Source organism: Homo sapiens, chromosome 9 (genome assembly GCF_000001405.40).
Source record: "Homo sapiens chromosome 9, GRCh38.p14 Primary Assembly".
NCBI classification, from domain to species: domain Eukaryota; kingdom Metazoa; phylum Chordata; class Mammalia; order Primates; family Hominidae; genus Homo; species Homo sapiens.
In genome coordinates this window covers 131,151,275-131,164,976 of record NC_000009.12, presented here as the reverse complement: position 1 = coordinate 131,164,976, position 13,702 = coordinate 131,151,275, and the positions used below count along the sequence as shown (strand labels likewise).

The 13,702-nt window shown below is 40.8% G+C and overlaps 1 protein-coding gene across 2 annotated transcripts in view; it reads right to left on the bottom strand.

The window, feature by feature from the left end:
• The window catches only part of NUP214 (nucleoporin 214), a 109,078-nt gene that overhangs the window by 69,687 nt on the left and 25,689 nt on the right, over nt 1-13,702 (bottom strand). For both annotated transcript variants that reach the window (NM_005085.4, NM_001318324.2), the window contains exons 17-21: nt 13,083-13,241; nt 5,491-5,594; nt 1,804-1,986; nt 1,022-1,107; nt 833-916 (exon numbers count right to left, since the gene is read on the bottom strand). In NM_005085.4, the coding sequence (NP_005076.3) occupies nt 833-916; nt 1,022-1,107; nt 1,804-1,986; nt 5,491-5,594; nt 13,083-13,241 (616 nt within the window). The remainder of the gene's footprint in view (nt 1-832; nt 917-1,021; nt 1,108-1,803; nt 1,987-5,490; nt 5,595-13,082; nt 13,242-13,702) is intronic.

Below are 13,702 nucleotides of genomic sequence, written 5' to 3'. Positions count from 1 at the left end.
TTTCTTTCAGTTATTCTGATTACCAAAAGCATTTGTTATTGGCATAAAAAAATTTTAACTGAAAACAGAATCTCAAAGAAAAATTTGGATATGGATACTAAAACAAAGCAGTTATGCCTAAAATTGTCACAAATTTTTCTTTAAATTGAAGTTATTATCTAGGTAATGTAATGGGAAAAAAATTTATGGCTTCTTTAAGCAAGTATTTTTAAGTAAGTATTTTTAATCAACATTGCTTAATCTTATTTTTTTCTTCTTTTTTCATAAAAGAAGCCTTTTTCGGCAAGGCACAGTGGCTCATACCTGTAATCCCAGCACTCTGGGAGGCTGAGGCAGGAGGATAACTTGAACCCAGGAGTTTGAGAACAGCCTGGGCAACATGGGGAGACCTCGTCTTTTATTTTTTTCTATTATTTATTTATTTTTTAAAATGCCTTTTTCCCAGATGCAAACTTACTCAAAACCCAACACAAATCAGAAAAGTAAACCTTCTCTGGCTAAAGCAGAGGCTAGGATCCAGCTCAGCCTATCTCAAACCCTTGTGAATCAGTGCCATAAAACTTGAGGACTGCAGAAAACAGTGTAAAAGCCAAAACGACTACTTTGCTGCTTCATCAAGTATATATAAGCTGGTTCTTATTCCACTATTCAGATTAACAACAGATTCTGGAGACATTTTCTCTATCCCCTATTAAGAACCAACACACACACACTTACACACACATACACAGCACCCTAGCTCACACATGCACACGTGCATGTGCGCGCGCACACACACACACCCCACCACACCCTATCACTATGTACAGGCCCAGTTACTGGTTCTCTTTACCTGGAGCAGTGGATCTCACTGGTGGGGTCTTCCTCTTGGCCAAGAAGTTTCTCAGTTGTGCCTGTTTCATGGGGGACAGTTTGGCTGCAAGAAATCCATAAACCCATAAATGATTAAGACTCAGTTTTTAAGATATCAGTACTTGGAAGAGAATAAAGGGAGTTAAAAGACTGGGAAGGATGCAATTACCTGGTACTTTGGGCAAGGATTTGGTGTGAGATTCTATGGTGGTTTTCAACAAAGCATTGCACAGGCTTTCCAGGTCACTGTCAAAACTGAAACAGAACAGTGTTAGATACAGACCAACTAGGAGCTGAAAGATCGGAGGCTGTCGGGGGTACACTATCCTCTTAAATATAAATGCAAGACATGAGAATATCCCCAATATATAAACATGCCATCTGACCAACTGATGGAATTAATCTAAAAGAAGTGAGATCACAATCATATTATATACCATCTCCACCTCAAACACAACATGATGGTGCCTCAGTAGAAAAAGTAATTAAAATTTATACATTTGGCCTAAAAGCATAAACACAAAACCATTTTGGTAAACTCAAGGCAAACTGTCAATCTGCCAGGGTCTGAAAGTCCCCCCATTCAAGCAGAATGGCAAATCTGGGCTTCAGAAACAAGTCAGTCAACTTAATCCTATCAGCTGATTTTCAATCAAACCATGACACTGTTACTATGGTGTATCACTTGCTATGATATATTCAGCACCCATTTCATCAGTGTAATATTTTACAGACTTAATTTAACTCTCCAACAATCCCACGAAGCAGGTATTGTCATCCTCATTTTTTAGGCAAAGAAACAAAGGATCAGAGAGGGTGGGACCCTGACCAGGATTACACAGGTGAGAGACACAGAGTCACTTGCAAACCCATATCTGAACCACTCTAAGACTCCCTAAATGTTCATGCATTCATTCACCCATATTTATTGAGTGCAAGTCCTCTCCACACCTGTGAATGCTGCTCTGGGAAGGAACAGCCGAGGACAGGCTCCACAGGGAAGTCTGTTTGTAAAGGCGGAGCTGCTGAAGACTATCCACCAGGTGATTCAGCCTCTTCCTCTGTTGGTTGATGATTTCCCGATTGTTGGCTAGGGTGTTAAACAGTGTCTCTCGCTCTGGCACAAGCAGGTGCCTGTTGACAACAATGAGAAAAGAATTAAACATGAATGGTTCAAGTAAAGGAATCTCCCAGTAAAAAAACAAACAAGACTACAATGGTAACAGTGAAAATGATAAAATGGAGAACCAGCACTGGACAAGAACCATTAAGAAATTACTAGAAAATAAAAAGGAGATGAAAGCCTAATGAAGATAAAATGGAATGTGGAGAAAACAGCTGGAAACAGGCAGGCCAGTCCTGTAGCAAAGGACAGCATACATTAGGTGAAACCTGAGAGAGGCCCTGGGAAGAAAAGGGCAGGAGTGAGGTGTGAGTCAGGAACCAGGAAAAAGCCAGTCAGCTTTCTACTTAGAATTTATCTGTTTTTCTGAATGTAAATTATATTCAATTAAAAAAAAAAGGTTCACTGGAAGTCTATGGGAGTCAGTTAATTCTTCAGACTATTGTCAAGAAATAGGGGGACAGCATAAGATTTAGCATCAGGAAGGTAACCTGCCCAAAAGAACTAAAACAAGACAGAGACAACAGTAGCTGCCTCTGGGAAGTAGGTCTGACTGTAGAGGGCGACAGGTCTATTTGCTTCCGCTTTTCAGTAGAAATCTTTAAGTAGCTTTGAAATTTTTTTCTGACTGCATTAATTTGCAGAGGGGATAGGAAAAATCATACATATAAAAACATAAGGAATAATCCCACATCAGTTATAAACCAAATTTTCTTTGCTATGGTATGTCAATACAGTCATGTGCCACATAACGACATTTTGGTCAATGATGGACTGCATATACAACGATGATCCTATAAGATTACAGTAGAGCTGAATTCCTATTGCCTAGTGATTTGTGTTACAATTGTCTATAGTAGTCAGTACAAAACCATGCTGTACAGCAGGGGTGTCTAATCTTTTGCTTCCCTGGGCCACACTGGAGGAAGAATTGTCTTGGGCCACACATAAAATATACTAATGCTGGCTGATAAGCTTAAAAAAAAAATCAAAAAAATCTCAGAATGTTTTAAGAAAGTTTACGAATTTGTGTTGGATTGCATTCAAAGCTGTCCTGGGCCACATGAAGCCTGCAGGCCGTGGGTTGGACAAGCTTGCTGTATGGTACTGTGGTCTAGGAGCAACAGGCTATACACCATAAGCGCCTAGGTGTGTAATAGGTGATGTCATCTAGGTAATAAGTACACATAGTGTAAGCACATTCTGTGATGATCATATAATGACAAAATCGCCTAACAATGAAATTCTCAGAACGCACGTTAAGCAACAAGTGACTCTATGTATATTTTGCCTCAACACAAATCATGGAATGAAAAATGCTTGCTAAACAGAAACCTCTGGATTTATTTCCCTTTTTCCCATTACCTCTTTGAGTTCAGGGCTGACTTGAATGACTGCCTCTGGTAACAAGGTAGTTCAACATATAATTTTTAAAAGGCATTTCAGGCCAGGCGCGGTGGCTCACGCCTGTAATCCCAGCACTCTGGGAGGGCGAGGTGGGTGGATCACGAGGTCAGGAGTTGGAGACCAGCCTAACCAACATGGTGAAACCCCATCTCTACTAAAAATACAAAAATTAGCCAGGTGTGGTGGCACGCACCTGTAATCCCAGCTACTCAAGGAGGCTGAGGCAGGAGAATCGCCTGAACCCCGGAGGCGGAGGTTGCAGTGAGCCGAGATCGCGCCACTGCACTCCAATATGGGTGACACAGCGAGACTTAGTCTCAAAAAAAAAAAAAAAAGGCATTTCAATAGGGTTCAAGGTAATATTCAGGGATGGCCCTGAAACAGAGAAGTGCTATCAAAATAGAAAATTGTACAGATTTAAGAATTTGAACTCTGCAGAAAGAGAACTCAGAAAAGCATAAGTAGTAAATCCACAGAATTGTTACAAAGGAAAAAAAAGCTTGGCTTCTCTTTAAGCATCATGCACTTTCTTACAAGGCTAACTTGTTAATTACCAAAAAGAAATACAACCATTGAGCAGAGCAGAATGTACCCACTGTAAGGTTAGACCATTGTTTCCCTTGTGGGAAAGCAAACCATATGGTTAAACATGAATCAGAACCAGGTGTGTGAGCTAGTTCTCTAATGGGGCCCCACTGCCCATGGAGACAAGTGCTCCAGTCCACAGGCCACAGAATTCTCCCCTTAGATAGTGGCGGAGGAGAGCTTCTCACTTCTATCTCCCTATACCTATCTATGCTGCAAGCTGAGGGTCCTCCAGTTGGGATTTTTAGCCTTTCTCCACATAACACAATGTAATTTATTGAATTGTGCTTACTAAATTATAAGCATATTATAGTCCTGTCCCTGATATCACACCCAGGTTGTCCCACTGAAAAGTACATCAAATAGACCATTTCTTGGTTTGTTTTCATACAGGGCTAGCTAATCATTAATCAAGTGTAGGTGTTTCAGAAATCTAACATTTCATGGCTGATTCATTTTTCAAATTTCTAATGGGCACTTCATGCTCTCATGGTGCATGACATTCTACTCCTTGTGGAAAATATGTGGCTTAAAACCAAATATCTAGGGATAAAAAACTATGCTAAAAGGTTTTCCCATTACTTTGCCATCATTTCTCTCATCTTTTTAATTATCCACACTAATTACAAATGTTTTCTAAAAAAGAAAATTTGAAATATACAGAAGAGTATTACGGAAAATTCTCCTTAATCCCGTTTTGCAGATATAACTACGAATATTTTGTTACATCTATTTACTTTTGTACCTCCACATTCTTATTAGCCAATATGCTTTTGTCTTTTTACTTATTAAATTTTTATATTACATCTAATAATTATAGCGAAATAGTTATATATTCATACATTTTGTAGAACATAGAATATGTATTCAATATATTAAATAATTTATTGGAGAACATGCTAGTCAATGGTTACAGGGTATTCTGTAGTTAAGAAAAAAAGCGACCATATTTATTTAGCCACTCCTGTACCTTTAGATAATTAGGCTGAATCCAATTTTTCACTATCATAAATTATACTGCAATATAAATTATTTTATGTAAATTACTGAGTATCATTTGTTGTTTCTATAGAAAAATATTTCAAGTAGAATGACTGTTAAAAAGAATGAACGTTTTGTAGAGATTTTCTCTTTCTTGTTTTTTTTTTTTTGAGATGGGAATTTCGCTCTTGTTGCCCAGGCTGGAGGGCAGTGGCACGATCTCAGCTCACTGCAACCTCCGCCTCCTGGGTTCAAGCGATTCTCCTGCCTCAGCCTCCATAGTAGCTGGGATTATAGGCATGTGCCACCATGCCCGGCTAATTTTGTGTTTTTGGTAGAGACAGGGTTTCTCCATGTTGGTCAGGCTGGTCTCGAACTCCCGATCTCAGGTGATCCACTCGCCTCGGCCTGCCAAAGTGCTGGGATTACAGGCGTGAGCCACCGCACCCGGCCTGGGATTTTCATATGTTCCTAAATAACCTTTTTAAAATGGCAATAGCAATATCTATTCCAACACATTGCAGATGAGAGATCTCATTCACCTTTGTTTTTTCTTTTGTTCCAGATGCTGATCCCACTCCAAGTCTAGAACATCATTCACATCTTGGACAGCAAATTTCACATACTGATGAAGGCGCCGAATTTCCTATAAGAAAAAAATTAAAAGGCAAATAACTTGTTTTTCTGATAGTTTGGGGGAAGATGTATCAAAACAGTCAAAAGAATTCTAAAATACTTCTATATTAAGAACCATAATGAACAAGGAAAACAGAATAGGTTTTAATACGATTTTTAAAACTATATAATTAAAATGAGGCCGGGTGTAGTGGCTCAGGCCTATAATCCCAACACCCTGGGAGGCCAAGGCAGGAGGACTGCTTGAAGCCAGGAGTTAAAGATCAGCCTGGGCAACACAGCAAGACTCTGTCTCTAATAATGTATACAAATAAAAAAGTTACATAAAAAAACTTTATAATTAAAATGAAAAACAAAATTGGCCAGGAGTGGTGGCTCCTCACTTTGGGAGGCTGAGGCAAGCAGATCACTTGAGGTCAGGAGCTCAAGATCAGCCTGGCCAACATGGTAAAACCCCGTCTCTACTAAAAACACAAAAATTAGCCAGGCAGGGTGGCAGGTGCCTGTAATCCCAGCTACTCAGGAGGCTGAGGCAGGGGAATCACTTGAACCCAGGAGGCAGAGGTGGCAGAGAGGTGGTACAATGAAAAGGGAAACAGAATGGGTATGGCTGCCTAGGCCCCCAGGGAACAAATGTTCTTGCTTAATTCTCATTTCTCAGTTCCATGGTCTGGGAATTTTCCATTCCATTCTGGTACTCAGACAGTGCATCCATTTAGATTTTGCTCTCCCACCCATAAAATTAACTGTAATGGAGACAAAACGGTGCTGAAAGTAATTCTAAACCTATCTATTCACAGCATAGAACATATAAGTCATCTTCCCATTTGAGAAATACTCATTTGTTTGCAAAATCAAAGAACACTATCAGCACTAAAAACTGAATCTGTCATTATTTAAAATTTTAGCTATTTAACTTATTATAGGCCTGCAATAATTTTATTTAAATTTTGGGCGACTGTTAACCTTCATGGCTATGCAACTTGATTCTCAAAAATTAAAAACAGGCCAGGTGGCTGGGCGCTGTGGCTCACACCTGTAATCTCAGCACTTTGGGAAGCCAAGGTGGGCAGATCACCTGAGGCCAGGACTTCCAGACCAGCCTGGCTAACATGGTGAAATCCCGCCTTGACTAAAAATACAAAAATTAGCTGGGCAGGGTGATGCATGCCTATAATCCCAGGTACTTGGGAGGCTGAGGCACAAGAATCACTTGAACACAGGAGGCGGAGGCTGCAGTGAGCTGAGATCACGCCACTGCACTCCGGCCTGGGCAACAGAGCAAGACACTGTCTCTAAACAAAAAATCAGGCCGGGCATGGTGGCTCATGCATGTAATCCCAGCACTTTGGGAGGCCAGGACGGGTGTATTACTCGAGGTCAGGAGCTCGAGACCAGCCTGGCCAACATGGTGAAACCCCATCTCTACTAAAAATACAAAAATTAGAGCTGGGTGCAGTGGCTCATGCCTGTAATCCCAGTACTTTGGGAGGCCAAAGCAGGTGGATCACTTGAGGCCAGGAGTTTGAAACCAGCCTGGTCAACACGGTGAAACCCCATCTCTACTAAAAATACAAGAATTACCCGGGTGTGGTGGCGCGCGCCTGTAATCCCAGCTACTCCAGAGGCTGAGGCAGGAGAATCTCTTGAACCTGGGAGGTGGAAGTCGCAGTGAGCTGAGATCATGCCACTGCACTCCAACCTGGGTGAAAGAGTGAGACCCTGTCTCCAAAACAAAACACAAAAAACAAAAAACAAAAATTAGCTGGGAGTGGTGGTGCACGCCTGTAATTCCAGCTACTCAGGTGGCTGAGGCAGGAGAACTACATGAACCCAGGAGGCTGAGGTTGCAGTGAGCTGAGATCGCACCACTGCACTCCAGCCTGGGCAACAGAGTGAGACTCTCTCTCAAAAAAAAAAAAAAAAAAAAAAACGCCAGACACAGTGGCTCACACCTGTAATCTCACACTTTGGGAGGCCAAGTCAGTAGGAGTGCTAGGGCCCAGGTGTTCGAGACCTGCTTGGGCAACACAGCAAGGCCCCATCTCTACAAAAATTTTAAAAATTAGCCAGACATGGTGGCGTGTGCCTGTAGTCCTAGCTACTTAGGAGGCTGAAGCAGAAGGATCACTTGAGCCCGAGTTCGAGGCTGCAGTGAGCTAGGATCGTGCCACCGCACCACACACTCTGGCCCAAGCAACAGAGAAAGACCGTGTCCAAAATTAAAAAACAAAACAAAACAAAAAAAAAAACAGAGCTAAACGTGGTAGCGTACACTTGTAGACCCAGCTACTCAGGAGGATGAGTTAGGAGGATCACCTGGGCCCAGGAATTCGAGGCTTTTGTGCACCATAATCATGCCTGTGAATAGCCTTTGCACTCCTGGGCTACATAGCAAAACTCTGTCTCCTAAAAAAAAATAAAATAAAACTGAGGCATTCAATTAAGTATGTCTACAAATGGAGATAATGTGCTATACACTAGGAAAAGCAGTTTACATCTGTAGAGAGATCTTATTATGTTTAAATGTATTTTCAAAATTATTTGTGTAGCTGGCACAGACAAGAGAAAAAATAAAGCGCGTCCAAACTGATAAAGAGAAAGTCAAACTGTCGCTGTTTGCCGATGTTATGATCATGTACCTAAAAAACCCTAAAGACTCATCCAAAAAGGTCCTAGATCTGATAAACGAATTCAGTAAACTTTCAGGATACAAAATCAATGTACACAAATCAGTAGCACTGCTATACACCAACAGCGACCAAGCTGAGAATCAAATAAACAACAACCCCTTTTATAATAGCTGCAAAAAAAAAAAGAACAAAAAAAAAAAAACTTAGGAATATACCTAACCAAGGAGGCAAAAGACCTCTACAAGGAAAACTACAAAACACTGCTGAAAGAAATCATAGACGACACAAATGGAAACGACACAAACAAATAGAAATACATCCCATGCTCAGCCGGGCGCAGTGGCTCATGCTTGTAATCCCAGCACTTTGGGAGGCCTAGGCGGGTGGATCATGAGGTCAGGAGATCGAGACCATCCTGGCTAACACAGTGAAACCCCGTCTCTACTGAAAATACAAAAAATTAGCCGGGCGTGGTGGCAGGCGCCTGTAGTTCCAGCTACTCAGGAGGCTGAGGCAGGAGGATGGCGTGAACCCGGGAGGTGGAGCTTGCAGTGAGCCGAGATCGTGCCACTGTACTCCAGCCTGGGTGACAGAGCAAGACTCCGTCTCAAAAAAAAAAAAAAAAAAAAGACAGAAATACATCCCATGCTCATGGATGGGTAGAATCAATATTGTGAAAATGACCATGCTGTCAAAAACAATTTACAAATTCAATGCAATTCTCATCAAAATACCATCATCATTCTTCACAGAACTAGAAAAAACAATCCTAAAATTCATATAAAACTAAAAAGAGCCCACATAGTCAAAGCAAGAATAAGCAAAAAGAACAAATCTGGAGGTATCACGTTATCTGACTTCAAACTATACTACAAGCCTATAGTCACCAAAACACCATGGTACAGGTACAAAAATAGGCAGACAGACCAATGGAAAAGAATAGAGAACCCAGAAATAAAGCCAAATTATTAGAGCCAACTGATCTTCAACAAAGCAAACAAAAAACATAAAGTGGGGGAAGGACACCCTATTCAACAAATAGTGCTGGGATAATTGGCAAGCCACATGTAAAAGAATGAAACTGGATCCTCATCTCTCACCTTATACAAAAATCAACTCAAGATGGATCGAAGACTTAAATCTAAGACTTGAAACCATAAAAATTCTAGAAGATAACATCAGAAAAACTCTTACAGACATTGACTTAGGCAAGGAGTTCATGACCAAGAATCCAAAAGCGAATGCAACAAAAAGGTAAATAGATGGGACTTAATTAAGCTTCTGCACAGCAAAAGAAATAATCAGCAGAGTAAACAGACAACTCACAGAGTGGGAGAAAATTTTCACAAACTATGCATTCGACAATGGACTAATATCCAGAATCTATAAGGAACTCAAACATATCAGCAAGAACAAAACAAACAATCCCATCAAAAAGTGGGCTAAGGACATGAACAGACAATTCTTAAAAGATATACAAATGGTTGACAAACATCCAAAAAAATGCTTAACATCACTAATTATCAGGCAAATGCAAATCAAAACCACAATGCAATACCGTCTTACTTCTGCAAGAATGGCCGTAATTTAAAAATCAAAAAATAATAGATGTTGGTGTGGATGTGGTGAAAAGGGAACACTTTTACACTGCTGTTGGGAATGTAAACTAGTACAACCACTACAGAAAACAATATGGAGATTTCTTAAAGAACTAAAAGTACCTACCATTTGATCCAGCAATCCTACTACTGTGTATCTACCCAGAGGAAAAGAAGTCATTACATGAAAAAGACACTTGCACACGCATGTTTACAGCAGCACAATTCACAATTGCAAAAATATGGAACGAGCCCAAATGCCCATCAATCAACGAGTGGATAAAGAAAATGTGACACACACGCGAGCGTGCGCGTGCGCACACACACACACACACAACTACTACTACTCAGCCATAAAAAGGAATGAAATAATGGCATTTGCAGCAACCTAGATGGAGCTGGAGACCATTATTCTAAGTGAAGTAACTCAGGAATTGAAAACCAAACACCATTTGTTCTCATTTATGAGCAGGAGCTAAACTATGAGGATGCAAAGGGATAAGAATGATACAACGGAACAGGCGCGGTGGCTCACGCCTGTAATCCTAGCACTTTGGGAGACCAAGACGGGCAGATCACTTGAAGTCAGGAGTTCAAGACCAGCCTGGCCAACACGGTGAAAGAGGATGCAGTGAGCCAAGATCACGCCACTGCACTCCAGCCTGGGTGACAGAGTGAGACTGTCTCTGAATGAATAAATAAATAGATAGATAGACAGACAGACAGACAGATAGATAGACAGAATGATACAATGGACTCTGGAGACTTGGGGGGAAAGGAGAGAGGGCGGTAAGGGCTAAAATACTACACATTGGGGTACAGTGTACACTGCTTGGATGATGGGTGCACCAAAATCTCAGAAATCACCACTAAAGAACTTAACCATGTAACCAAACACCACTTGTCCCCCAAAAACTATTGAAATTTTTAAAAATTAAAAAAAAATTATTTTGTGGATAAGGGTCTATGTCCTATCTGAAAAAGAGAAAATGTAATTTTAAAAGAGCCAAGATGATTCAAGAGAAGTAGAAGTAACCTTAGTAGCAAATGTAACTTTCAACTCACCGAGGCTCTTTCCTTTGATCACTTCAGATACAACCACACCTCTGCGTTAGCTGCTGCTGTTTCTTTGGAATGCCCTCCCAATTGTGCCCACCAGCCAAAAACAATTCTTCTTTTAAAGCCTATCACAAATACTTCTTTTCTCTGGCTCGGCTGCTCCCTCACCTGTGGTCCCATAGCAACATATCCCACACTACATTTACATGTTCGTCTTTCTCTCTGTCACTTACCCAACTGCAGGAATTGCAAACCCGAGTGAATTGTAAACCTGCATGAACTGTAAACCAGACTCTTGAGTACGAGCACAGGCTCTTGAGTCAGACTGCCCAGGTTCAAGGTTTCAAGGTTTATTAGTGGTAAAACCTGGGCAGTTTCAGTTATCTTGGTTTCATCATCTGTGCATTGTCCATAGTAAACACTCAATACATGCTAACTAGTATTATCTACTTAGCACCATGAAAAAAGAAAATTATTCCCTCCTGAATAAGTGTCTCCCTAAAGCTGTATGCTTTCCTCTTAGTTTGTCAATAGAGAAAGAGGTGGAAAGGCACATAGGAACAACATGTAGCTCGGATGCAGAGCGGATGCCTGTAATTTGATGAGCAGTAGGCAGGCAGCACTCTCTTGCTGAGAGGTAATATCCACAGTGGAAAGAGGACGCATCAGGAATACCAGAGGGCTGCAGATCACAGCAAGGGCTCTGCAATCTATCTTGAAGAAGGAACCATTTTTCTTTTTTTTTTTTAATTTTCAGTAAGTTGACCAGGTGTGGGACAGAAACACTGGGGAACAATAAAGTTTGAGGCCTCAAATTCTCTGAGGCAAGAATGATTCATCACACCTGCAAACCCCACAGATGTCATGAGGAAGACCAGAGATGCCAGTGAACGCTTCCCGCTGGAATTCCAGACAAATGTGAGATAGCAGAAGAGGACCCCCACACTAAGGCCAGTGACACAATGATTCGGTGTACACTGAAAGATGGAAAGCAAAATCCGATTAGCAAAAGCAGAGATTAAGAATAATTAAGAATAGTGGCTCACACCTGTAACCCCAGAATTTTGGGATTACAAAGACAGGAGGGTGACTTGAGCTCAGGAGTTCGAGACCAGCCTGGATAATGTAGTGAGACCCCATCTCTACAAAAAATTTAAAAATCAGCTGGGTGTGGTGGCACACACCTGTACTCCCAACTATGTGGGAGGCTGAGGTGGGAGGATCACTTGAGCCCAGAGGTTGAGGCTGCAGTGAGCTGTGATGGTGCCACTTCAGCCCAGGCGACAGTGCGAGACTCAGTCTCAAAAAAAAAAAAATTTTTTTTCAAGAGAAAAGTTAAGTGTAGCATACAGAAAAGAGCTCAGGCAAATGGAGGTTTCAATTCTGGTTCCCCGTTTCCTAGCCAACATGACTTTGGACAAGCTACTTAGCCTATGAAATTTAATTTCCAGTTACCTGTATAATGGGCTACAGGGACCAGTAACTCTTACCTTGCAGAGCAGCTGGCTTTGAAGGCTAGAAATAATGCATAAGAAACACCTAGCAGATTAAATGGCACTCAAGAAATAGTTGCCACTTTAATAATTATTATTTATTTTTATTATTTATTTATAATTATTATTTATTTATAATTCAACTTACATGTTTCAACAGAGTATTCTCTATTAAGCTTAAGGTTTAATAAAAAATTTTGGCCAGTCACGCGTGTAATTCCAGCACTTTGGGAGGCCAAGGCAGGAGGACTGCTTGACCCCAGGAGTTCAAGACCAGCTGGGCTGGGCAGCATAGTAACACCTTATCTCTCCAAATAAAATATTAAAAATTAGCCAAGTGTGGTGGCACATGCCTGTGGTCCTGGCTACTCAGGAGGCTGAGGCAGGAGGATCACGTAAGCCCAGGAAGTAAGGCTGCAGTGAGCTGGGATCACACCATTGCACACTAGCCTGGGCAACAGAGTGAGAAGACCCTGTCTCAAGAAAAAAAGTATTTTAAAAAAAATCTATGTTTTAAGTGAAAAAAATTACATAATTACATGAAGTGTACTGTTTGCCACAGTTAAGGAAGTTTACGGGAAATGTGGTAAATTATAAGCAGAAAATCAACAACTTCAAAAAGAGCCATCATCCAAATCTATATGCAAAAAGAGGTAGCAATTGTTACATGAGCTTGTTTTTAAATCTTTTAAACAGATTTACATAGATCTCCTACCTGAAGCTGAGCTTCACTCTTGGGATCCAGTGGTCTTTTATAAAGCAAATGCAGATAACCAGAGTCACGATTTCTTTCATTTTGTTCTCTGGCTTCCTCAACACCAGCAAAGCCCTCAAGTAAAGTTGTTTTCAGGCTACTTATATCTCCATGAAGCGACTAGAAAAAGTACAATAATGTGTTGGTACAAAAAGTTGTTACGTCCAAATCTTTCTGTTTGGATCAAGGAAGGTGGTGTTTCTCAAACGCTCACTGAACAGAATGAACATCTGAACATATTTAACTCAGGTAAAAAAAGAATTTAACTGTTTAGAACGACACTAATGTTCTTTTTTTATATTTATTTTTCATCCCCATTGAAAAAATACATTCTAATGATTGAAAATGCAGAAAATACAAAGACAGTAGCTCTAACACTACTATGTGAAGATAATTACTGCTAACACTCTAAAGAACTTGCCTCTTTCCAAACACACTATTTAAGACCCGAACTCTGGAATCAGAGAGTCTGAAGCAGAATTCTGGCACTACCACTTGCTAAGTGGGTGACTTTTGACAAATTTGCCTAAGCCTCAGTTTCCTGACTTGCAAAATAGGGTAACAGTATGTATGACACAGCA